The sequence below is a fragment of the Homo sapiens genome, chromosome X (assembly GCF_000001405.40).
Source record: "Homo sapiens chromosome X, GRCh38.p14 Primary Assembly".
Taxonomy (NCBI): Eukaryota; Metazoa; Chordata; class Mammalia; order Primates; family Hominidae; genus Homo; species Homo sapiens.
The window spans coordinates 45,159,497-45,185,595 of NC_000023.11; the positions used below are offsets into that span (position 1 = coordinate 45,159,497).

At 42.3% G+C, this 26,099-nt stretch overlaps 1 protein-coding gene across 4 annotated transcripts in view; it reads right to left on the reverse strand.

The window, feature by feature from the left end:
- The window catches only part of DIPK2B (divergent protein kinase domain 2B), a 52,504-nt gene that overhangs the window by 11,124 nt on the left and 15,281 nt on the right, over window positions 1-26,099 (reverse strand). Inside the window, exon 3 of one of the 4 annotated variants that reach the window (NM_024689.3) lies at window positions 2,827-4,753. The exons of the other annotated variants lie outside the window; for them this stretch is intronic. Coding sequence (NP_078965.2) covers window positions 4,703-4,753 — 51 coding nt within the window. The 3' untranslated portion in view covers window positions 2,827-4,702. Of the gene's footprint in view, window positions 1-2,826; window positions 4,754-26,099 lie in introns of those variants that run through there. 4 annotated transcript variants of the gene reach the window in all.

The following is a 26,099-nucleotide window of genomic DNA, read 5'->3' on the forward strand; positions in this document are numbered from 1 at the left end:
CAGGCAGGACCTGCACCCTTATCTTTACTGGGAATGAGAGGATCACATCATATAACCCTGCAGTTAGCACCAGACTGTATTCAGACTGTATTTGTGGACACAAAGGGAACAAAACAGGACCTGCCCTCCGGGGTGTCTCTCAGCTGGGAGAGACCATCAGGTGCCCAGCAGTTAAGATGTGGCACAGGAAGGGCTATGACTGCAATGAGCTATTGGAGCCAACAGGAGGAGGGCCACATTACAACTTTCATGGGCCCTTAGTACCCTTGCTTTCACAGGCCCCTTCCTCCATGAAAAATATTACAAATTATATTTTACAACTGCATTGATATGAAGACAAATATATTAAAATTATACATTCAAACATTTTCTTGGAATTAAAAGTTTGCTTTTTTCTTCTGATTTTGAAAGAAATCAAAACATTTTTGTGGGACCCTGATATGGTTTGGATCTGTGTCCCTGCCCAAATCTCATGTGGAATTATAATCCCCAGTGTTGGAGGTGGGGCCTGGTGGGAGGTGATTGGATCATGGGAGCAGATTTCCCCCTTATTGTTCTTGTGATAAGGAGTGAGTTTTCATCCTTCCTCTTCGCCTTCTGCCATGATTGTAAGTTTCTTGAGGCCTCCCCAGCCATGCTTCCTGTACAACCTGAAGAACTGTGAGCCAATTAAACCTCTTTTCTTCATAAATTACCCAGTCTCAGGTAGATCTTTTTTTTTTTTTAATGAGACAAAGTTTCACTCTTGTCCCCCAGGCTGGAATGTAATGGTGCAATATCAGCTCACTGCAACCTCCGGCTCCCAGGTTCAAGCCATTCTCTTGGTTCAGCCTCCCAAGTAGCTGGGATTACAGGCATGCACTGCCATGCCTGGCTAATTTTTTTATATTTTTAGTAGAGACTGGATTTCACCATCTTGGCCAGACTGGTTTTGAACTCCTGACCTCAGGTGAACCACCCACCTCAGCCTCCCAAAGTGCTGGGATTACAGGCATGAGCCTCAGGTAGTTCTTTACAGCAGTGTGAGAATAGACTAATACAGACCCTAAAAGATTTCTTGAAAGATAGTGAGGTTTAAGCTGAAGCCTGAACCTGCAAAGAGGGTGGAAGAGTATTTTATGCAGAGGGAACAGTATATGCAAAAATCTTGAGAGGAGAGAGAATGTGCTAGAAACTACAGGGGGTTAGGGCTTTTTGAAGCTAGAAGTGAGAGTAAACAGGAGGAATCCCAGAATGGAAGACAGATGAAGTCATTTTAAGGAATTTTGATTTTATCTAGAAGGGATAGGGGACAACTGAAGGCTTTAAGCAGATACGCATTTTATGCTCAGCTATACATTTTAGGAAAGTGATTCTGGGTTGTTATGTGGACAATAGATTCAGAGGAGTGTGGCCAATACTGCTAGTTATTAGCCCCTGCATTTTAGGTAGGCATATGGCCACCCCAAATAAAGATTTCATTCCCAGCTTCCTTTGCAGCTAGGTGTGATAATGCGACTAGGTACCAGTCAATGAGATATAAGTAAAAATTTCTGGGAAGAGTCCTTAAAGGGAGAGGATGTAGCTTTCTTCACTCTTTTCTTCCTGGCTGGAATATGGATGTGATGGGTGGTGCTCAGGCAGCCATCTTGGACCAGGGCACACTAAGGGCTGTGAAGCAGCAGAATAAAAGTAGCCTGGATCCCTGACAATCATGGAGCCACTATATTGGCCTTCGACAGCTATGTATCAGTTTCTTTTATGTTTTTTAAAAAGTGTATTTTGGCCAGGCACGGTTGCCCATGCCTGTTATCCCAGCACTTCAGGAGGTCGAGGTAGGCAGATCCCTTGAGTACAGGAGTTCGAGACCAGCCTGGGTGACATGGCAAAAGCCCACCTCTACAGAAAATACAAAAACTAGCCAGACATGGCAGTGCATGCCTGTAGTCCCAGCTACTTAGGAGGCTGAGGTAGGAGGATCACTTGAGAACAGGAGGTGGAGGTTGCAGTGAGCCATGATCGTGATACTGTACTGCGGCCTGGGCAACAGAGTGAGAACCTGTTGCAAAGAATAAAAGTGTATTTTGATCTTGTTTAAGCCACTGTTACTTGGATTTGTTGTCACATGCAACTGAACTTAATCCTAAATATCACAGGAAGAAAGAGTGGAGGCAGGAAGGCCAGTTAGGAAGACGCAGTGATTGACTGTGAGATGAGAGAATGCAAAGATTTGAAGATATTTGTTGGTAGCAGAATATACAAGTCTTGGTGATAAGCTGAATGGTTGGGGGCTGTTGGTGAGAAGAAAGGAGGTGTCAGAGATAGTACTCAATGTGAGAGTGGACAACAGGAATATTGTTTGCTGAGGTGATTTTAAAACACGTTTGTAAACTTTTTGTCACTTCTCCCATCAAGGGATAGAGTCTCATTTCCCTCCTGTGGAATATAGACTGGCTTTGGTGACTCACTTTTGGTGGATAGGACGGTACAGGAGTGAAGATGCAAAAACATTAAGCCTAGGTCTTAAAAGGTGATACAGCTTCTACTTAATTCTGTCTTTGGATGCTTGCTTTTGTACCTAACCACCATGCTGTAAGGAAGCCCAGGCCACATGGAGAGCCATATGTGGAGAAAAAAACCAAGATCCCCCACTCACCACAGCTGGGTTCCTGACAGCCAGCCCCAATTTGCCAGCCATGTGATTGAGCCATCTCGGAAGTGGAACCTCTATGCCCTATAGAACCACCCCAGCTGATGCCATGTGGAGCTTGGTGAGCCTTTCCCACCAAGCCCTGCTCAAGTTGCATATTCATAAGCAAAATAAATGATTGTTGTTTTAAGCCACTATGTGTTGAAATGGTTTAATACACAACAATAGATAACTGCTATATTTGCTGAGAAGGTTCTGAGCAACCTCTATAACTGTAGCAGGAACAGGCTTAAGAGACCATTTTTACTAACCCCTCCCTTTATGATGGAGGCAGCTCCTCCCCAAGGTCCCACTTACAGAGTGAGACCTTTGTCTACTTCTGTTTGGCATGTGCTGGCCATGTGCAAACCCACAATTATATTGGCCAATGGCAAACAGAATTGGGAAACCAACCATTTCCAATAAAATAAGGTTTCATTTCAAACCAGATACACCCATTTTGGGGATTACCAATTGCTTTGGAGTTTCTAAATCACTTCTCCCATCTGCATACATGGGCAACAGGGCTAACTTACCACCTCCCAGTGAAAAATAAAAAGATAACCAAACCCTGGACCTCTGTTGCCCCTCTCTCTCCCGTGCCTGGTTTCCTCATCCTTGCATTTCTTGTCTGGTGCTATCCCTTGGGAAGCCAGCCAACCAGTCAATGTCTCTATTGACTGGAATTTTGCTTGGCTATATTGTTACTTGATAGGGGCCTTTGGTTCAGGGTGATGCTGAGAGTGGCTGTCACAGTTCTCTACCACAATCCTTAACAGTCTGAAGACGGTCGATAAAATTTAGCAGGCATGTTGCTGTGATGGTTAATTTTATGTGTCAACTTGGCTAGGCTGTATTCCCCAGTTATTCAATTGAATGCTAATCTAGGTGTTGCTGTGAAGGCATTTCATAGATGTGATTAGCACCTACAATCAGTTTACTTTAAGTAAAAGAGATTATCTAGGTAATCTGGGTGGGCCTGATCCAATCATTCAAAGCCCTTAAGAACAAAAACAGATTTTTTTAAGGAACAAGGAATTCTATCTGCAAACTACAGCATCAGCTCCTGCCCAAAGGTTTACAGATTGCAGGCCTACCATATGGATTTTGGACTTGCCAATCCCCACAATCATGTAAATCAATTCTTTGAAATAAATCTGGACATGTATATGTATCTCCTACTGGTTCTGTTTCTCTGGTAGAACCCTGCCTGATACACTAGCTAAAGGAAAAACACTCGTTCATTACAAAAATGGACAGCAATGAAGACCGAAATCTAGATTTGCTTTCATCTTGGAAGATTTTAGTGAAATCTGAATAGAGGAGAAGTAGCTTCCCCAAGGAGTCATTTGACCTGCGATTGGCTTTCATCCATACCCCCGAGTGTTTGCTCAAAAAACATCACCAGCAATCAGCAGTGTCCTCATTTAAAGAGTTCTTACCAGAATGGAAACATAAAAGATAGATAGTCTTGACAGGTGATTTCATGACTCTGATGGAGGTACTTAAAAAGTAAAAGAGGTATGCTTTTTTTTCCCTCTAGAAGCCAGAGATAAGAGAGTTCATCCATCACTAGGGCAAGAACAGGTTTTCCTTCAGACCAGACCAAAATTTAGAAGTTATGTGGGCCTTTGGTAATGTTGTCAGAATTGCCCTAGCTCCTTATCAGGTTCTATCTCATAGGGAAGACCTGTCCAGACTGAGAATCTTGCCAGAAGTAGATCACAGGGGGATCACATCTGGATTGGGGTGGGCTCAGCAACAGCCCCATCTAGGGGACCACAGTGTGGTGGAAAGAGCCGGGGCTTTGGAGTTGTCATCAGAGAATATTGTGCAAAGGTAGCCTGTTGCTGGTGGGCCTGTGTGTTGGTGAATTCTGGAGGGTGGCATGGGAGCTGCATGTGAAGGTTTGATGCAGAAGCCTCTTTAATGATTACTATTTGAAAATGTGGTTGGTATAACACAGTTGGGAGAAGGCTAACACTTTCTGGAAGTTCTCAGTGCTGGGCTCCATGCCAGGCTTTTTCACTGGTGTTATCTCAGCATACACAGGAACTTTAGTTCTCTCTGGCCCTGGTGACAGTCCTGAAAATTTAAAATGATTGATTAAAAAAAGGCTTCAAAAGATTTGTGGAAAATGTGACATTAATTTTCGCAGCTCTGGCTGTTAAATGCAAATGGCAGATAGCATTATCCAGTGATCTAGTAAAATACTCCCATGTTCCAGTTGGGAATAAGGACCAGGAAGGAAGTGGCTTATTAAAGATCATGCTCCTGGCCAGGTGTGGTGGCTCACATGGATGAAGCTGGAAACCATAATTCTCAGCAAACTAACACAAGAACAAAAAAACCAAACAACACATGTTCTCACTCATAAGTGGGAGTTGAACAATGAGAATACATGGACACAGGGAGGGGAACATCACACACATGGGCCAGGGGCCTGTTGGGGGTTGGGAGGCTAGGGGAGAGATAGCATTAGGAGAAATACCTAATGTAGGTGACAGGTTGATGGGTGCAGCAAACCAACATGGCACGCGTATACCTATGTAACAAAACTGCACTTTCTGCACATGTACCCCAGAACTTAAAGTATAATAATAACAGAAAAAAAAATTAAAAGTTAGCTGGGTGTAGTGGCACATGCCTGTAGTCCCAGCTACTCAGGAGACTGGGGCAGAAGGGTCACTTGAGCCCAGGAGTTCAAGACTGCAGTGAGCCACGGTCATTCCAATGCTCCTTATTGGTGTCCAAGCTTGCTTTCATACCCAGATTCCAGTAGGGTATTATATTGATTTAATCAGGAGAAAGATGGGGGGACAAGCCTGTGATTTCAGAATCGCACAGTGTGTCCCAAACTTGGCTGACAGTCCTGGCCTTCAGAATGCTATAAACATACAGATTCCTAGGTCCCCACCTAGAAATTCTGGAAAGGTAGGTCTGATGGAGGCTTAGAACTCTGGATTTAGACAGATAACATGGGCTGTTCTTGTTATCAGCCAAGCCTAGGGAACAGAAGGGGAGCAAGGGACTGATTGTGCATTCTTGATGGTAAAGACAGTTGGTAATGGCTTCCCCATCACTCCTCAGATGGCTATCATCTTTCCCCAGAAGGTTTGGCTGGTAAAAGCCCAAAGTTAACCTTTAAAAAGGGGATGTGCACACTGTAATAGGGGTGCTCCAGAAAACCAGACAATCTTCAAAACCACTCTAATGAATCTCTCAGGAGGAAATCATAGCTGCTTGAAGGAGAGATGGAGTTGCTGACTCCTCACATCACATCACATCTCGGAGCCCACTCCAAGGAGGGATTGAGCAGAAAGAAGAATCAGGAGTGGCAGGTGGCAGTTGGAAAGTAATTGACTGTCCAAGGGCCATGTACTGACTCCCACTGGCCACTAGCCCCATGCTGCAACATGGGGTGACAAGAACCAAAGGAGAGCTGGCATCCTAGACACCTCCATTTTTAGACGTCCTATATTGGGTCAGTGAAGATACTGTCAAGCTATCCATTGTGTGACAATACATAGCTATTTACCATGCTAAAATAGTCCGTTTTAGCATGGTAAAAAGAACCAGAGACACTGCTGGAGTTCTCTACTGCTGCTTCTCCAGCTCTCTCTTTGGAATTTCGGCACAAACTCGGTTTACAAGCCTCACAGAACACGCATGCAAAAGCCTTGGCCTGGTGAGAGGCACGTCCTCTGCATTCAGTACATTAGTACGTATCATTGTCACTGCCATGTGCTAGACGTGCCTTCCATAAAGAGCCATGGTACTCTCCATGCCCTATGTCCCCTTATAGCTGAAGCTTCCCCTTCCATGGCCACTTGCTTAGGGCAGCAGGGCAAGGCCATCTTTGATGGATAGGGGGTACCTGGTGTGAAAGGCTCTACCTAATGAGCTGTTGGTAAAGAGTTAAGCCAATTATTCTGATTCCCTTTTGGGATTTTGATTTGGGATCTATCTGAGAAAGAGAGGATGGGGCAATGCTATGGAAAGAAGCAGAGATGCCATGAGTGAGGGTGATTGGGGGCCCATGAAACAGTGACCGAAGCACCAGATGCATGGTCGCTGGATGCCAGGGCTGCTTCGGGTCTTAAAAGCTTCCGTGCCAAGTACTGGGCCAGGGATGGCCTTACCACAAACACCTTTTCCAGAGAGTGGGCTCATGGAGTCTTTGTTCTTTGTCTCCAGGAGAGCCAGGCAGCCCACCAACCCAGAGAAATGGGGTTTTATTGAGGCATGAGGGAAGGGCAGCGGGTTAGGATTGGATGTCCTGGGCCTACTGAGACTCAATTTCCGCCTCTGTAAGAGGGGGGATGACAGTGTCTTTTCTGAAACCTCATGGGAATGGCATGGAAGATAATGTGCGCGAACCTTGTCATAGCATTCACCATCCTGTGCCCCGGTATAACCACATTATCCTCAAGCCCATCTTCCATCTTAATTGTCCAACTTGCTTCTGCCTGACTTCTGGCAGTTTCCAAAAGCAAATGTTTCTCAAAAGACAAAGATTTGCCACTACTGAACATATTCGAATATTTGCTCAGATGGAAACAAGTGTGTGAAAAAAAGAACATGAACTCCTCTTAGAAAGAAAATCTAAGACCAGAAATGTGGCTTTTCCAAGATTAAAAGTCAGCCCGTCTCAGTAAGAAGGTTTTCCTTGCCAGCTACATTTGGAAGGCTGAGGGAAATCTTGAACAAATGAATTTTTACTTTGAGTGGACTTATTGTTCTCAAGCTCACCCAGGGAGAAGAAGAGAACGTGCTAATGCTAATAAACCTATGAGTTTCCTTTCTGGTTACACACCTGAACAACTTTCACATGATTTAGTTGTTAAATATGCATGTGAAATGGGACTTAGGTTAATCATGCATCATAAGTTAATCAATGCTTTATAATTAAAACAATGTTGATTCAATAACTGTCTCAGCTGTGGATAATTAAACCAAAAGTTACTGAACATTTCTCCAAGCTGTATTGTATTCAAAATAATGAAAACTCTTTTTTGGTTTGTGTCATTAAGAGAAACATCTTGGCTGGGTGCAGTGGCTCATGCCTATATTCCCAGCACTTTGGGAGGCCGAGGTGGGAGGATTGCATGAGCCTAGGAGTTCCAGACAAGTCTGGGCAACATAGGGAGACCATGTGTCTACAAAAAAATGAAAAATTAGCTGGGCATCGTGGTGCCACACCTGTAGTCCCAGCTACTTGGGAGGCTGAGGTGAGAGGATCGCTTGAGCCTGGGAGGTTGAGGCTGCGCTGAGCTGTGATTATGCCATATGCATGGCACTCCAGCCTGGGCAACAAAACAAGACTGTCTCAAAAAAAAAAAAAAAAAAAAAAAAGAGGAGAAACATCTCACAATTGTTTTCCTACTACAGTACATGAATTTTTTTTCTTTTACTAAAGGTCTTTCTGATTATTTTTTCCACTGAAACCCAGACACAGCACAAAGCTTTTTGGTGTGTTAACTTTGGATTCTACAAGTGTCTGGCCGCCAGAGTGATTCTTTTTTTTTTCTTGTTTTTGAGATGGAGTCTCACTCAGTCACCCAGGCTGGAGTGCAGTGGTGTGATCCCAGTTCACTGCAACCTCCGCCTCCTGGGTTCAAGTGATTCTCCTGCCTCAGCCTCCCGACTAGCTAGGATTACAGGCGTGTGCCACCACGCCTGGCTAAGTTTTGTATTTTTAGTAGAGTCAGGGTTTTGCCACTTTGGCCAGGCTGGTCTTGAACTCCTGACCTCAGGTGATCCGCCTGCCTTGGCCTCCCAAACTGCTGGGATTATAGGCGTGAGCCACTGTGCCCGGCCCAGAGTGATTATTTTTGAGAAACCACTTGGATGATTTAAAAAGTTGACACCTCATAACTCTCAGTCATGTTTATAAGGCAAAGCTTACCCTCTTAGCTCACTGTCCCAGGTACTGAAGGAGGGAGGAAAATCTAAGTAGATAGCTCCCAAATCGTTTCAATGTTGCTTTGAAATCCCTAAGATATGGCAGGTTTATGATAGGTCACTTCCTCCTTTTTGGGAAGTTTCTCTCTGTTACCGTTGGCTTAGGCTGATCAGTTCAGGTTCCCTGAAACTCAATCACTAAAGGAAGAAAGTCAGGTGCAAAGGGTAGAAGCAGAGACAGGAATGAGCTAAGAGTGGGCATAGAATTTGGAGTTTTCCTTGGATCATCAAAGAGTGAATAACATATCCAGGAGGGTTGAACAGATGTTAAAACCACATAAAACAGAGTTGGTGGGGTGGGGTCAGGGATATGAAATGTTTTCCTTGCAACAGAAAGCCTGTCTCGTAGGCCTACAGTTTCTATGGAAGACAGGTCTCCTAACTCCGGGTGACATCCTTTCCTTGGGCGGAGCTTCTTTTTGCTTAGATTCTTGGTATTCTGCAGAGGTTCTGGGTTGAGCCCTGATGGAATGTTCTCTCAGGAGCAGAAGGCTTGAGAGAAGTTCTGTTTCATTCCCTGGGGAGGGTTTTCAGGAGAGGAGTCCCATATGTGGCTTTATCCACTCTCCTGTTTCCCAGCGCCTCCCGCATGTCTTCTCCGTGTCTCCCCTCTTCAGGCCAACTGCCTGCGTCCCTTCATTCTATCTTGTATTCCCATCGGCCTGCGGAGCGGTCTCTGCTGGATGGATGGACAGCCTTCACCCCAAACTTCAAAGGTGAAAAATGAGATTCAACATCCCCTTTGGGAGGCAGTCCAATCAAGTAGTTAACAACCATGTCACTGAAAGTCAAGCTGCCTGGGTTCAAATCCCAGTTCTGTCACTTAACGATGGCATGACCTGAGGCAAGTTCTTTAATTTAGCTATGCCTCAGTTTCCTCACCTATAACTGATGGATAGGATTCATGTTCTGAGCCAGGGGACCCATTAAGGGGACCCATAGGACTCATGTTCTGAGCCAGGATATTTTTGAGAGTGAATGGGGCTGGTTTTAAGAATTAAATCAGGACAACAGGCATCCTGTGGGACTGTCTCAGGCAAACCTAAAAAGATGGTTATCCTCATAATTACGGTACCCACCTCATGAGGGCGTTGAGAGGGTCAAGGTTGTGAGAACAGTGTCTGGTACATGGGAAGGCTCTAGAAGCATTTTCTATTATCATTTGTCCCAAACGCAACACCTTTTTCTAATTTTTCCATTTCTGTAAGTGACCCCACCATTCTCCCAGTCTTCCAGGTTAGAATATCTGAAGCTATTTTTGACTTCCTTATCTTATTGGCTGATCTCTTGGATCTTTGGTCCCCCGTATCAGTTTGCAGTGTCATCATTGTGACCTGTAACATATGCATTGTGTCATGTTCACTTGTGACCTTAGTCACCTCTCCTCCAGCTGGCCCAGGCTGGTTCCTTCCCTTCCTGAGCCCCTGTTCCCTCATCTCTCAGGTGGGGACGATGGTATTTGCCACCAAGGACACCCCAATTGCCAGGCTCTGGCATGGTCTCTGGACATCATAGACACTGTTACTTCCTTTCTGAATGCATGATAAACATGTCACTGTGCTTTACAGGCTGTGGCGTGCTTTGTAAACACAAAAGGTAGTGTGGAGGGCCAAACAAACAACATCCACACCATGACTATAACTGACACAGGACAGTCTTGAAATGTGTGAAAAATATTTGGGAAACCCTAGTCAGGAAATCATTTCAGGCAGAAGGGTTGGGGAGTGAGTGTTATCAACTTTTCAGCCATTTGAAGAGGCTTAATGAACACAAAGCATTAATCAGACTGGACATTCAGACAGGAAAACCCAAGGGTCAGAAGTTGGCCTTGGGAGGCCGGCGCGGTGGCTCACGTCTGTAATCCCAGAATTTTGGGAGGCTGAGGCGGGCAGATCACTTGAGGTCAGGAGTTTGAAACCAGCCTGGTCAACATGGCGAAACCCTGTCTCTACTAAAAATACAAAAATCAGCCAGGCGTGGTGGCAGGCGCCTGTAATCCTAGCTACTCAGGAGGCTGAGGCAGGAGAATCACTTGAACCTTGGAGGCAGAGGTTGCAGTGAGCCAAGATTGCACCACTGCACTCCAGCCTGGGCAACAGAGCAAGACTCCGTCTCAAAAAAAAAAAAAAAAAAAAAGGAAGTTGGCCTTGGGATCCGGAAAGAGGATGCCCCAGCCCATGGCCTCCAGCACTGTGGCCCAGGGACAGGTGGCCAGGCCACTGGCACTCACCCACCGACTCCTGTCTTAGATCAGCACCCACTCACCAGCCTTCTGACTACTCAGAAGCTTGCCTTCGTGCAGAGAGAGGTGCATTCCACTCTATGGGAGGGTGATGCTTTGTAAATACCATTTCAATTGCTGGTTCTGTGACTTGGCCAGTGTGAATTGGCTTCTTTTAGAGTGTGCTGTTAAGACCACCAAATGTGAACTCCAAGAGAGCAGGAACTTTGTCTGTCTTGCTCACCTCTGTGTCCCTAGCACCTTGTAGAAAGTTCATACTCAATACAGTGTTGTTAAATCAGAGGAGGAACTATTGAAACCCCAACTCTGGACTGTGGTGAATTTACCAGGGTAAATGCCAGCCTGAGACACCCTTTGGGAGCCAAAAGAAAGGATGGCTTTTCTAGTGACACACCCATGTGTTATTGCATAGTACAACCTTTGAAATGATGGCAATTGAAAACCAGTTGCTAACATTATTGCATGCTTGCCTGCTCTGTTTCAGGCCCAGTGCTCTGTGCCTTGCATGTGGTACCTTGCTTAGTTCTCACACTTCCATGAGAGCAGGTGCTGTGCTCGCCTGCAATGAGAATTCTCTGTGCCTGGAAGTTGAGCAACACATCCAGGTCTTTGTACATAGGGGTGGAGCCAGGATTTGAACCCAGGTCTGCTTGAGTCCCAGCCCAGGCCATACTGTCTTCTGGGGCGTTGAACCTGCAGCCTCCTTGTTGGGTCTTCTCTCTCTGGCACTGTCAGGTGGTCTGTGCCTCAAGTGCAGGAAGCAGATCTCACGTGCTGTCACCTTTCCAGGAACCCTGGACATCATCGGGCTTATGGCAGGTGTAACGAGTCTTGGATGTGCCCTCCCTTTCCCTCTTTCTCCGGTAGCCTGTGTGAGCGTGACCCTGCCCTACTTTTGCCATGAAGATTCAACACCATTTCCCTGACCCCACTCTGAACCCTTGCCGGTCCCTGCAAACCATGTTTAGACCCATTTCTGAAAAGATCCACTGTCTTCGAGTCATTTTTCTTTAGAAATGCAAATTCTCAGACTCTGCCCCAGACCTGCTGAATTAGAACCTCTAGGGCAGGTGTGCCAATAAGCCTTACTGGGGATTCTGGTGCCTGCTCAAGTGTGAGAACCACTGTCCTACAGAATGAAGTTTAGCTCCCCACCCCCAGCCCTCACCCTACCCACTGCTCTCTGACACTCTAATGGAGGGCCGTGACACTTGCTCTACTTCCCACAGTCATGCCTTATTCTCACTTCCACGTCTTTGCCCTGCCTGTGGAAAATCTGTCATTGACATTTCCCTGTCCCATCCTTCCTCTCCCAGTTTAGGCCACACCCCCTCCAGGCAGCTTTCCTGGCCCTTCCAGCTCCCATTTTCTTCCTTCTTTTGCATTCTGTGCTATATAGGCCTTGTGCTATGCACATCGGGTCTCTCCTTAGCTGTTCGGTGCACAGGAACTTTGAATAATCATGCCTTGGTAATCATACCTCTGCCTCGGCAAATAATAGTGGGTGGGTACCTAAGAGATCTTTAATAAGCAAATCTTGTCCACACACTGATTGGTGTGCTGCAGTGGACTTACTTGGGGTGTGTACCCCAACCCACAATTCCTGAGAGGCTGACTTAGGCAGCTGGTGGTCAGTCCAGGAACAGTACATGAGGTAATGTTGGAGGAGCAGGGACCATGACTAACAGAGAGATCCAGTCTGCTGAGAGATAATGGAGCAGACACCCAAAAGGGAGCAGAGATGAGAAGCAAGGCAGGACTGGAGCCAGATAGGAACTTACAATTTCTTTCTTACCAGGAGGGCTGGATGGATGTACTTCTGGCACAATAAACCCCTTTTTCACTTTAATTTCTGAGGAGGTTTCTGATCCTTGCAACTACTGCTCCCTGATTAAGATACAAGCAAATGGTTGCTTTGGGGGACTTGTGTTGTCTTGGTTAAGTAAGTGACCATCTTAGCTGAATACCACACAGTGTCATGCATGGTATCTACGTAGCAGTAGCCCAGGTCAAGGCTACTTCCCTTGCCTACCTGTGCCCCTTGCTGTCAAACGTTTGGCAGCCAGAGGCTCACTTAGTAGTGATTATGGCCTCCTCTTCCATTGGGTAGCCCACACCTTGGATGACCCCTCTGGTGGAGGTGGTAGCTAACTTTCCCTTCCTATTAAAGACTCTTTCTTTCCTCTCGCCTCCCACTTTGTCCACCATCTTCCTCCATTCCAGGGCCCCTGGAACCTTGTCACTGAAGCATTTGTGGGTTGCTCAAAGATTTTCACTGTGGCAGATGAAATAATCATTCTGGCAGGCGATTCAGCTAATAGTTGGGGCTAGCAGGGAAGCTGACGCAGAGTAAAACACATTATTTCATGGTCTGTCATTTCGATTCAGGTGTGCTAAAGCTTGTCATAATTCTCCACTGGGTCATTTCTTTTTATATGGGCTGTTGGTTTTCTTTTTTCTTCTTCTTTCTTAAATCAAAAGACAGGAAACCAAGTGCTTCTGACAACTCATTCGTGCATCCAAGCTTGCAGAAATATCCATAGGAGGTCAGTGGCTTCTGCTGTGCAAAGCTCCTGTTGGCCCAGGAGGCTCAGGCAGAATTCTGATTGTCAGGAAAACCCTCACACTTGCCTGAGAGCAGGCGCTGCCAGGCTTCTAGTTCCCCCTAGCCCTTCTGTTGAGATTGCATCACCTGTATGAGTCAGGGTTCAATCAGAGGCAGAAGCATCAGGAGATTGTTTCTGTTTTATAGGGTTTTGACTTTATACAGTCATGGGAGCTAGCTAAGCAGTCTCTGTAGGGCTGCTTGACACATTACAAAGCTGTCACATCACCTTTGGCTTTCTTTGCATATCCCTTGGTGACTTTTTCTTCAACTAGACTGAGCTAGCTCACTGGAGCCTAACTGCCCTGAGTCTATATTTGGGGTATGGAGGTTTACTGTCCTGAGAAAAGGCTGGATAGAGGAGCAGGCTTGGGTAGGCAGCTTCTGGGCCAGGTATTGGGTGAGGAGCTCTCCAGCAGATGGACATAGTGCAGACAGAGTTCATGGAGGAGCCGGTGATGCATTCTCTGGGTACCTGAGAGAAGCTCCTGGTACACTGAACATCCTTTTTCTTTCTTTCCTTCTTTCTTTCTTTCTTTTTCTTTCTTTCTTTCTTCCTTTCTTTCTTCTTTCTTTTTTCTTTCTTCTTTCATTCTTTCTTTCTTTTTCTCTTTCTTTCTTTTTTTTTTTGGTGGAGGGGAGACAGGGTCTCATCATCTTGTCACGTGGGCTGGAGTGCAGTGGTGTGGGCTCAAATGATCCTCTCCCTCAGCCTTCTCTAAGTAGCTGGGACTACAGGCATACACTACCACACCCAGCTAAATTTTTGAATTTTTGTAGAGACAGGGTCTTGCTATGTTGCCCAGGCTGGTCTCGAACTCCTGAGCTCAAGCGATCCTCCCGCCTTGGCCTCCCAAAGTGCTGGGATAACAGGTGTGAGCCACTGTGCTGGGCCTGAACCTCCTTTCTATCTCCCATCCCAACCCCTATTTCCCCCTCTTCACTGCCCTCATTCCTCTGCACCCTGGGTGCCTTCATGAGGTACTGTCTACCAGGTCCTTTCTGCGGTAGAAGGAAGGGTCTGGGGAGAAAGAAAAGCAGGCAACTTCCTAGAGGCTGGGTGTGAGAAAGTAGCCACAGAGGCCCTAGAGAGAGAGGCCGCAAAGCCCGGAAAGGCCTGAGCTGAGAAGGAGGTGCTGGCAGTTCCAACCCAGGTCTGTCACTAGGCTCAATGGTCCTTCGGGACCATTGCAGGGAGACACAAAAAGAATTTGGGGACTCTTCCGTCAAACCAAATATACTGCTGTAACCATGCGTGTGTGTTAGGAAACTTGTAACAGCTCCTGTCTGAGGTTGTTGTAAGTGATTTATTCAACAAAAGTTTATTAGTGCTCTACTTTGTATAAGGTGTTGGACCTTATATAAAGTAGGACCTTCTGAGGTCAGAGAGATAAATAAGAGAAGGCCCCTACACCAAAGAAACTGGTACCCTTGTGGGGCACAGTGACATATATACCACAAAGTTCAATGCGGGGCAGAATATGACAAATGCTATAAGAGATGTAAACAAGGTGCTATGGGAATACAGAAGAGAAAGCAGTAGGGAAATCCAGGTAGGCTTCACAGAAGAGGTGGTATGAGCATGGCCTTGAAGAATGAGTAGGATTTTGGCAGGTGGAGATCTAGTATCAATGCATTTTAACTGAAGGATCAGAATTGAGCAAAGGCAAGGAGCAGAGTTAAAGGCCATGTCTGGTCTATGGGATACAGACATGGGTTCCTCAGGGGAGAAGATTGGAAAAGTAGGTTGGGAGAAAACTGTGGGGCTCTTGAACATCACATGTAGGAATTTAGATTTTATTCTATAGATAATACGCATAATGTTGTAGGCAAAGATGATTGTTCATGAAGATGCCATGTGTATCCCCCCAAAAATCTCTTTGGAGGGAGTTAAATTCAATATGGCAATATGTATTCAAAAGTGTAAAAACATTTATACCCCTTGACCCAGTGGTTTCACTACAGGGAAGTAGAGAAGCCACAAAGCATAGTATTTAAGGGCGTGACTTCTGCATTCAGGAGACAGGCCTGTGTTCAAATCTCAATTCCAAAATTTACTAGCTGGGTAACCTTGGGCAACGTATATAAATCTCTCTAAGCCTCAGATTCCCCATCTGTAAAATGGGAACAAGAATATCTTAGAGGGTTTGAAGATTAACTGTGACAAATGTATGTGAAGCATGCCGGGTCCATAGAAAGTAGCAGGTATGTGGTAGTTTTTTAAAGGAAATTTGTCTCAAAGACCTAACATGAAATTCAGACAAAGACTCTGCAAAAAGATGTTCATCAAAGCATTATTTATGATAATAAAAATAAAAAATGTAAACAGTCAACAACAGTGAATAAAACTATGGTCCATACATGTGAGGAAATGATGTATGTGAAGAGTTTTAATGATATGGAGGCTATTATGAGATATAATATTAAGCCATAGAAGAATATGTAATATTACATATACAATTTACTTTTAACCATGTTAAATATGACTAGAAAAAAGACTAGAAGAAAAAACACCAATGTGTTAACAGTGGTTGCCTCTGTGGCAACCCAGTGGTGAGTTATATGTGATTTTTCCCACCTATTTTTTGTGTTTAAATATATATACGTATATGTTTAAATATATATATACACACATATATGTGTATATATATATATGTGTGTATATATACACATATATACTTAAAGTGATATGGACTCATTGTAAAAATGTATAAAGTATACATACATATATGTGTGTATATGTACATATATGTATGTATACTTTATACATTTTTACAATGAGTCCATATCACTTTAATAATAACAAATAAAAGTAAAAAAAATTGAAGAAAAGAAAGTTTTTGAACTGGAAAGGGAAACGATCCATTTTTTGGGAGGGTAGCAGGTGGCCAGGTTAAGCATGCATTTGAGAAATGAAAGGTGAGAAGCAAGGAAATGGGTCACATTGCTCTTTGAAGCAGGCCTGAAGTGGTGCTTTTCCACCTCACAATGAATGGGGTGATTCTGAGGGTGCTGTAGGGGAGGAGCACTTTGTTGGAAGAATTCTCTGTACGTAGCCAGGAGGTCTATGCAGAAGGAAGGGGGTCTGTAATGGGGACCTCTTGCAGGAAAATATGCTTAGATAATCTGACGGCCCCCTGAGCTGTGAGAGGTTGAAGTATTAAGGTAAAACAGACAACAAAAAGGTAGGGGGCATAATTTTTTCACCACTGGGCTATGGACAGGACCTCAGGAAGCCAGAGAGATCAGATGGATCAAAGAACAATGAACGTCAAGAATGAAGTGAGCCTCATGAGTTTCCACACATTACTGCAGCCCTCCTGGCCATATAGAGAATTCTTTAGATCCAGAACCCTGAGGAAAGGACTATAGTTTTAGGATGAAAAGAAAGCATCAATCTCAATATGCTATAAGGTAGTTATATTTGTTGGTTAATTAGAGAGTCATTTATATTCTACAGTCCCTTCCCCAACCCTGGCATACATAGTGTCCACTGTCTTGTCCCTAGAATTGGCAAGTGCCACAGGTAAATGACTACCTGCTGGATCTAAAAACATGATGGTATGAAGAAAGTCTCCACCACAGTTAGCACATGTTGGGGCTCTAGATGCAGGGTAAGCCTTCCGAGAAGGTTATTGGTGGGGAGACAGTTTTGATCCTAGAGAAACAATGTTGGAAGGGAAATCAGTATTTGCCCCTTGCCTTTCTTTTTGGTGTCTTACCTTGCGTTTGAAGCACAATCCTTAGAAGCACTTGGGCCAGCTTACTAGGCAACCCCCTGGAGAAATCACCCTTTGTTCTCCTGAGCAAGAGGCTCCCCATCAACTTCATCTCCTGCCCTTGGTCAAAATACCTCAGTTGTCTCTTCTCCAAGATAACTATGGAGAGATCAATCTCTGAAGAATGCTAATGGATCATTGTGCCACCAACCCTTCTTGCCCAAATTGGGTAGACATTTCTGGTATCAAGAGTCATATTCCACGGAGTATGAACTGTGGGACTGATATGGTTTGGATATCTGTCCCTCCAAATCTCATGTTGAAATGTGATCCCTGCCAGGTGCAGTAATTCCAGCATTTTGGGAGGCCGAGGTGGGAGGATTGCTTGATCTCAGGAGTTCGAGATGAGCCTGGGCAACATGGCAAGACCCTGTCTCTACAAAAAAGTACAAAAATTTGCCAGGCATGGTGATGCACACCTGTAGTCCCAGCTACTTGGGAGGCTGAGGTGCTGAGGTGGGAGTATCTCTTGAGTCTAGGAGGTCGAGGCTGCAGTGAGCTGTGATTATGCCACTGCACTTCATCTTGGGTGACAGAGCAAAACTCTGTCTCAAAAAAAAAAGAAAAAAGGAAAAGAAATGCAGTTTCCCCTGTTGGAGGTGGGGCCTCATGGGAGGTGTTTGGGTCATGGAGGTGGATCCTTCATGAATAGATTAATGCTCTCCCTCAGCAGTGAGTGAATTCTCACTCTATTAGTTCCCACGAGAGCTGGTTATTAAAAAGAGCCTGCCACCTCCTCCCTCCCTCTCTCTTGCTCCCTCTCTCTCCATGTGATCCCTGCTACTGCCTCCCCTTCCACCATGAGTGGAAGCTTCCTGAGGCCCCACCAGAAGCAGATGCTGGCACCATGCTTCTACAGCTTGCAGAACTGTGATCCAAAATAAACCTCTTTTCTTTATAAAGTACCCAGCCTCAGGCATTCCTTCGTAGCAATGCAAGATGGACTAATACAGGGGTTTTCTGCTTGTTAATGCCTAAGATAAGCCAGTAAAAATTCTCACTTGGGGAAAGACAAAAATTTCAGGGACTCTAAAATCAGAAGGTCTCCAGTGAAACTGTATAGAGTTGGCTCTATCAGGAGTTAGAACAGGTATGGATCAAGGGTCACCTTTAAGTTATGAATAGTGAATAGTGAATGATGTCATATCCATTCATTTATTCTTTTCTTTATTTCCCAAACATTTATGAAGTGTTTACTTTATGTCAGACATGTGTGAGAAAAGACACTGATAAAAGATCCAATCCCTACCCTCAAGGAGCTGCCTATATGATTGGAAAGGCAAAAACAGAAAGAAAGCCATCATGTACTCTATATAAAGTGCTTTTCTTATCTGCTGTAAGTGTGTTATTTAAGTCAGACTCTCCTCTGGATCCCATGCCCAGCTGGGTCCTGGCCAAAGCAAGGAAGGCCTCAGTTCCCTTGGTATATGCTGGGCTGAAAAACCACAGGAGTTCCTCACACATTCTTCAGCCTTGAAATAGTATCCAAAATGCCAAAGCATTTTAGAATAAAGCCGGATTCTCAAAATTAAGAAAGATGGCTTTAATAGCTATATTTAGGATTTTGATATGTGCATGCAGTAGCATTTTTTTTTCTTTCTTTCCTGGAGAGTAGATAATTCTGGGATTTTTGGTTCTGGCCATGACAGAATATACCTGGTATCAGACTTACCCTTCTGCTGTAAATAGCTCTAAAATCTGGGCAAAATACAAAACAACTCTTTGCAGGTATTGAACCATAACCAACATAGCACAATTATCCTTGTGAGAAAGGATACACACGAGGTAAGCCCCATATTCACACTATCTTTTTCCCTGAGAGCATTTTCCAAGCTGCAGTGCAGGTTTGTGCTAGGTAAAGGAAACACAGATCAGCATTTGGGGCTGCCAAAATGGCTGGGATTTGGGAGACATAGTCCTGTAAAAGGGAAATTCACAAAGAAGGAGCCCCCATAACTTTGTAAAAATTTCCCTCAGGTCCTTGACCAGCTCCTAAGCAGCATGTGAGTAGGGTAGGCCTCTAGAGACCTATCAGAGAACCACATTAAAAGAATGTATTGCCAAGCAGATATTTCAGAGGCTGCATGGTGCTGGAGAGATGAAAGCTGAAGTTTGGCTAGACATCTTAGTGAATATCCTGGGCTTTCAATCGGACCTCAGAAAGTCCACATTCTAGTAGTAAGGATCATGCCTTATCAGCAGGGACCATGTCTTAGGAGTAAGGGTGAGACCAAGAAAACTACACAAACAAAGCCTAAAATCCATTCTCAACAGAATTAAGGCAGTGGCTCTCAACTGGAAGAAATTTTTCTCCCCAGGGGATATTTTTGACAACACCTGGAAACATTTTTAGTTGTCACAACTGGGGGGTTGTGGGTAGAGGCCAGGGAGGCTGCTAAACATTCTACAAGGTATAAGCCAGCCTCCTTCCCCCAACAAAGAATGATCCAGCTCAAAATGTCAATAGTCTTGAGATTGCAAAATCCAGGCTTTAAGTGATTTGAGAGCAATTTAGTTGGCTACTAGAACAAAACTCAACAATTTTTAAAGGAAGATGACATAATTCAGAAACTTTATAAGGCATTACAGTTAAAATTTGGCATACAATAAAAAATTACCCAATTAAAAATTACCCCTAAAGTGTGAAGAAGCAAAAAAACGGAAAACTATCAACACAAACAGAAGTGGAAGCAGAGATAATCCAGATATTATAGTAGAAACAAGGAATTAAAAGTAAGTCTGGTTAAGATTTTAAGAAAATAGAGGAAAAGAGACAAAATGAATGAAAAAGGGAGAATTTCAAGAAAGTTGGAATCTATAAAACATTAAATAGACATTCTAGAAATGCAAAATGCAATATCTGAAATTAAGAACTTCTTTACTGGGTTTAACAGAAAACTGGGCGCAGCAGAACTTATTAGTGAGCTAAAACAAGGCAAAACAAAATAAATCTAACAACAGAGAATGTCCAAACTAAGAACATAGAGAAAAAAATAATTGAAAAAAATACTAGAATTCAAGGTTGGTTTAATATTTGGAAATAAATCAATGCAATTTACCACATTAATAGAATAAAGGAGAGAAAATACATGATCATCTTAATACATGCAGAAAAAGCATTTTATAAAATTTACGAAAAAAATTCTCAATAAACTAGAGTAGAAGGAAACATCTTTAATCATACTGAGGGTATATTAAAAAACTTATAGCTAACATTCCTGTGATACCTGTGAATTTAATCACAATGCTTGTTCATTGCCCAGAAAGAGTGTGTGAGCAAGTCCCCCCACAGCTCATCTTTTTCCTTTAAATGATGGAATAACTCAGTGTTGGAACCACTGGAACATCACCTCATCAGCATTTGTGTTAAGGGGGTTGTTTGAATGGGACAAAGAATAACCTATCAATTTCCAGGTCTTCATCATATTATAAGATTATTTAAAAAGGGGGGAACAACAAATCATTTGGTTTGTCTGCTAAAATAGATACCTAATTATAATTCATAGATCTCATTAATGAAAAGGATTCCAGAAAAGGCTCACCCAGCCTTGAAGCAGATAAGTTGAGAATAAAAGATGAAGGCAAAAGAGGACTAGGGGAATACTAGACATGAGATAGGTCACCAGTGGATTCTTTCTTGATGAGTCTCACATACAGAATTCTTTTTCTCTAAAGTTTGGAACAAAATGATTATGCTACTATCACCACTCTTATTTGTCAATGTATTGGAAGCCCTAGCCAGTACAATAAGGCAAGAAATAGAACATATCTTAACGTGAGAAAAAAAGAAAACTACAATTATTTGAAGATGGAATGATATAATGGTATACATGGAAAAATTCAAAAAAAATCTATAGCAAGCTATTAGAAATAATAGGTAAATTTAACAAGATTGTTGGATATAGGATAAATACACAAAAATCATTTGTACAGTAGTTCCCTCTTATCCATGGGGCATACGTTGCAAGACCTCCAGTGGATGCCTGAAGCCACAGATAAGTACCAGGCCCTATATATACTATGTTTTTTTCCTATTCATACATACTTATGATAAAGTTTAATTTAAAAATTAAGCACAGTAGGTGATTAACAATAGTAACTAATAATGAAACAAAACAATTATAACAATATACTGTAATAAAAGTTATGTGAATGTGGTCTCTTTCTCTCAAAATGTCTTATTGTATTATACTCACCTGTTTTCAGACTACAGTTGACCATGGGTGACTGAAACTGTGGAAAGCAAAACCAGGGATAGAGGGACTACTATATTTCTATATGTTAGCAACAGAGACTAGGAGAATAAAATTTGAAGCCATGCAAATTATAGTAACAGCAAAAATATCAAATATCCAGTGTACCTAACAATATCATTTACAGTAACATCAAAAAACATCAAATATCCAAGATAGCTAGCAAAACGTGTGCAAAATAGCTATGCTGAAAACCATGAAACAGTGAGATAAATTAAAGAAGACCTAAGGAAATAAAGACCTAGTCCATGTTCATGGATTGGGAGTCTCAATAATGTTAAGGTGTCACTTTTCTTCAAATTGCTCTATATATTTAATGAATCAAAATTACAGCAGGTTTTGTGGAAACTGACTAAATGGCACTAAAATTTATTTGGAAATGCTAGAATTCTAATGCAATATTGAAGAAGGATAAATCTGAGAGGCGTACACTACAGGACATCAAGGCTCACTATACACCTACAGTAATTAATACAGTTTCATATTGGCACAAAGCTAGATAATACACCAATGGAATACAACAGAGATTCCAGAAACAGATTCACTCATGTATAGTCATCTGATTTCTCACAAACACTCTACTGAAATTCAGTGAGGAAAGAATGGTTTTTCTAAAATATGCTTGGTCAATTGGATATTCATATGGGGAAAAAACCCTTAACACCTACTGTACATCACTCATAAAAAATAATTTGGGATGTATTATAGATCTCTATATGAGAGATAAAATATTAAAGCTTCTAGAAGTAAACGAGAGAATATCTTCTTGACCACACGATAAACAGAACATTAAAAGTGCTAACCATAAAATAAAATATTTAAAAACTGGGCTTCATTAAAATAAAGAATTCCAATTCATCAAAAGAAACAATTATGGCAGCCTGGACAATACAGTGAGACCCTGTCTCTACAAAAAAATAAAAGTAGCTGAGCACGGTGTACACCTGTAGTCCCAGCTACTTGGGAGGCTGAAGGCAGGAGGACTGCTTGACCCCAGGAGTCTGAGGTTATAGTGAGCTATGATCATGCCACTGCACTCCAGCTTGGTGACAGAGACACCCTGTCTCAAAAAAAAAAAAAAATACCATTAAGAGGGTGAAAAGGCAAGCCCCAGCCTGGATGAAGATATTTGTAATACACAGCTCACAAAGAGCTTGTATCCAGAATATAAATATAACTTGTATAACTTGTACTAATTAATAAGAAAGACAATCCAGTAAAAATGGACAAACTAAACCCAGTACTTTACCAAAGATGAGATCAAAAAAGCCAGTAAATATATGAAAAAGAATTCTATATCATTAGTTATTAGAAAAATGCAAATTCAAACCATACAATGATATACTGCCAAACTCCCACCAAAATGACTAAAATTAAAAACTAACAATAGTAAGTGTTGATGAAGATATGAAACAATGGAACTCTTTCTCCCATTGCTAATAGGAGGAAATCAGCACAACTACTTTGGAAAACTACTTAGCAGAATCAACTAAATCTTTCCATATGTACATGCTATGACTCAACAATTCCACTTTTGTGTGCTTATGTTCACCAATAGATATGTACAATAATGTCTGTAGCAACTTTAATTCACAATAGTGCAAACTAAATACAGCCCAAATGTTCATCAACAGCAGAATGCATACAGTGTGAAACCATCACAGAGCGGTGTTGTTTCACACACTGCAGTGAAAAAGAACACCAACCACGGATTCACGCAACAACATGGATAAATAGCATGATGTGTTGTGTACATATTGTACGATTCCATTTAAATGAAGTTCAAAAACAGGTAAAACTAATCCATGGTGAGTTAAGTCAGAATAGCAGCTACCTTTGGGAAGGGTCAGGGTAACCAACTGTTCAGGTTGTCCTGCAGCTGAGAGGTTTCAGTGTGAAAGCTGGGAGAGTCCTAAGCAAACTGGGATGGTTGGTCACCCTAGAATGTGGTCTTTTTTGGGAAGGCACATGAAGGAGCCTTTTGAGGGGCCAGAAATGTTCAGTATCTTGATATGGATGGTGGCCACGAGTAAATACACGAGTGAAAATTTATCCAGCTATGCACTTAAGATATATGTGTTTATGTATGCAGTTTATACTTTAATTGAAAATCTTTAAAAATAGCTATATGTTACAAAGCACAGAGTATGAAGAAAGCAAAGACAATAGGGCCATTAGAATTTTGGTGGATAACAAAATGAAGGCCCGATTTTCATTTCTAATGTTTGCTTGTTTTCTCTTTCAGGTGTTGGGACTTTGATGGGAAAAAGGTGAAGCAAAATGTGGTAAACAGGAATGAAAAGCCAGAATGAATAAAGGAAGCCTTCATTGTTCTGAGTGAGTTCCCCAGCCTGAGAGATTCACAGAGACCTGGCAAATGATATTGCTGAACCATGGGCAGTGAATGCAGAGAACAGAAAAGGCATGAAAATCCATTTCTGATATTTAAAAAGAGCAAGAGGGTAGATTTCACAAATTAGTGATTAGTGGGCTGATCCTGGATCACAGGAAATATTCTAAAACAGGTTATTCATAGGATAATTTGTGAGCCTCCAGATGGGGAAATGATGATCTTAAGGAGTCACTGAGGATTCTTTTAATCAAATCATTCCAGACTAACAACTTTTTTTTCTTTGACCTGGTAGTTTGATTTTTAATCAGAGAAATTCAATAGACAGAATATATGAACTTTAGTGAAGCATTCAACAGTGATTCTCATGAGACCCCTATAAAACAAAAGGGGAAACAAGATTTGGGCTGCATAGAAAAATTAAGATGATTAGTAATTGGTTAACTGAGTTTACCTAACAACTAACGGATTAACCCCTATAGAGAAAGAAAGCTTTTTATTTGGCCCTGTTCTGGTTAACATTTTTATAGAGGACTAAGACATAGATAAAAATTGTGTTCATCAAAACTGAGAATAATATGTACTTGGGGTGATACGGGGTATGATAAGTATCAGAAACAAGTTGACAGGCTAGAATAATGGATTTAATATAAGAAGATCATATATAACAGGATAAACAAAAGGTTCTGTCCTTGTGAACTAAAATCTAGCTACAGAAGGGGTTTCAGTTGACATAACATTTAAGAAGCTTCAATATGAGAGGAATGCCGAGATGAAAAAGAGAACTGGGGATGTTTACAATGGGGAAGCCAGGATTTAGGAGCTGCGTGTATGGGAGGGCATATGTCATGTATAATCTGTATGATTCCAGGGCGTAGAAATACTTTACATAAGTGAGAGCTACAAGAAGACAGATTTGGGATGAACTTTCCAAGTATCTGTTCTGTCCAAAGAAGGCATAAGCTGAAGGTAGTGAGTTTCCTGTCACTGTATGATACGGTAGATGACCCTTTGCCTTACAGAAAGGATGCAAATATGTTAGAGTTCAAATTGCTGAGCTTTCAAATTTATTTCAACCCCAAGAATCTATGACATATGTGTAATTCAGTAAGTAGAAATAGATTTTGATCTTTAACAAATTGATATATTGCTCTGTGGTTTGCTCTCATATATAAACCAGGAATAAATATATTTATTCCCTGCTTAACCCACACAAAAGGTTTATAAATTATGCCTTCCACAGACCTCTTGATAATCCTAAGAGAGAAGCGCTAACACAATTGTAAAAATTATTACTGCCATAAGTGGCCTTGAGTTAGGAACAAATTAATATGCGTTTTTAATATCTTTTTGTATTATTTCTCCACATTAATGACCGAACTTGTGTCAACAGCAGCCTAACAGAACCCTGGATTGATTTTCAATTTTCCTCTGAGCAGTGATTTGGCAAAGGCTAAATCATAGTTTGGGGAAATATAGAGTTTTCATCATTGTTATTATCCTGATATTATTACAATTTCAATTATTTGCTCTGTGGCTCAAAAGATAATGTTTTTACATTTCTGCTTTGGTATTTTTTTTTCCTATTATAGTTAATGTCTGATGTGATTCTCTTTTGATTAGATAAAATGATCTTTAATATTTCTACTTTAAAAAATGTATTGAGGGGTTTTGTGGCTTAATACACAGAACACAATCACGGTAGCACAATCAATTGATATAGTGGTTAAGTTCTGCTTATTAGGCCACAAATATTGTGTTAGAACACAATCACTATATTAACTGATGTCTTCCAAGTGACTTTCTTTATAGATAAATACTATATATTATATAGTTTAACCTTTGATTCCTTCATAGCATGTGGACATGCATAGAGGGACAGCCAATCCAGAGGCCTCTGGGCCAAGTCACACTTAACGGCAAAAGCATTTTTTTCTGAGTACATCAGGATAGAGGTAATGAGATATCAAAGGAAGAATTGTATAGAACAAAGGATGCCTTGATTTTTTAAAAAAGGGGCTTGATTGGTAACATCTAAGTTTAGGGAAAGCTTAAAGCCCTGTAAAAGCAAAGCTTGCTTTGTATTGTTTGTTCTGATGATTATTCAGGCTTCGGTTACGTTTTGGCTGGGGGCGGCCTGTATTCTGTATTTGAGCATCATCTGGAAGGAGCCACTGGTGACTTGTCTCATGTCTATCTTTCCCCTAGTCTTCTCTTGCCTCCTTTTTCTTTCTCAAC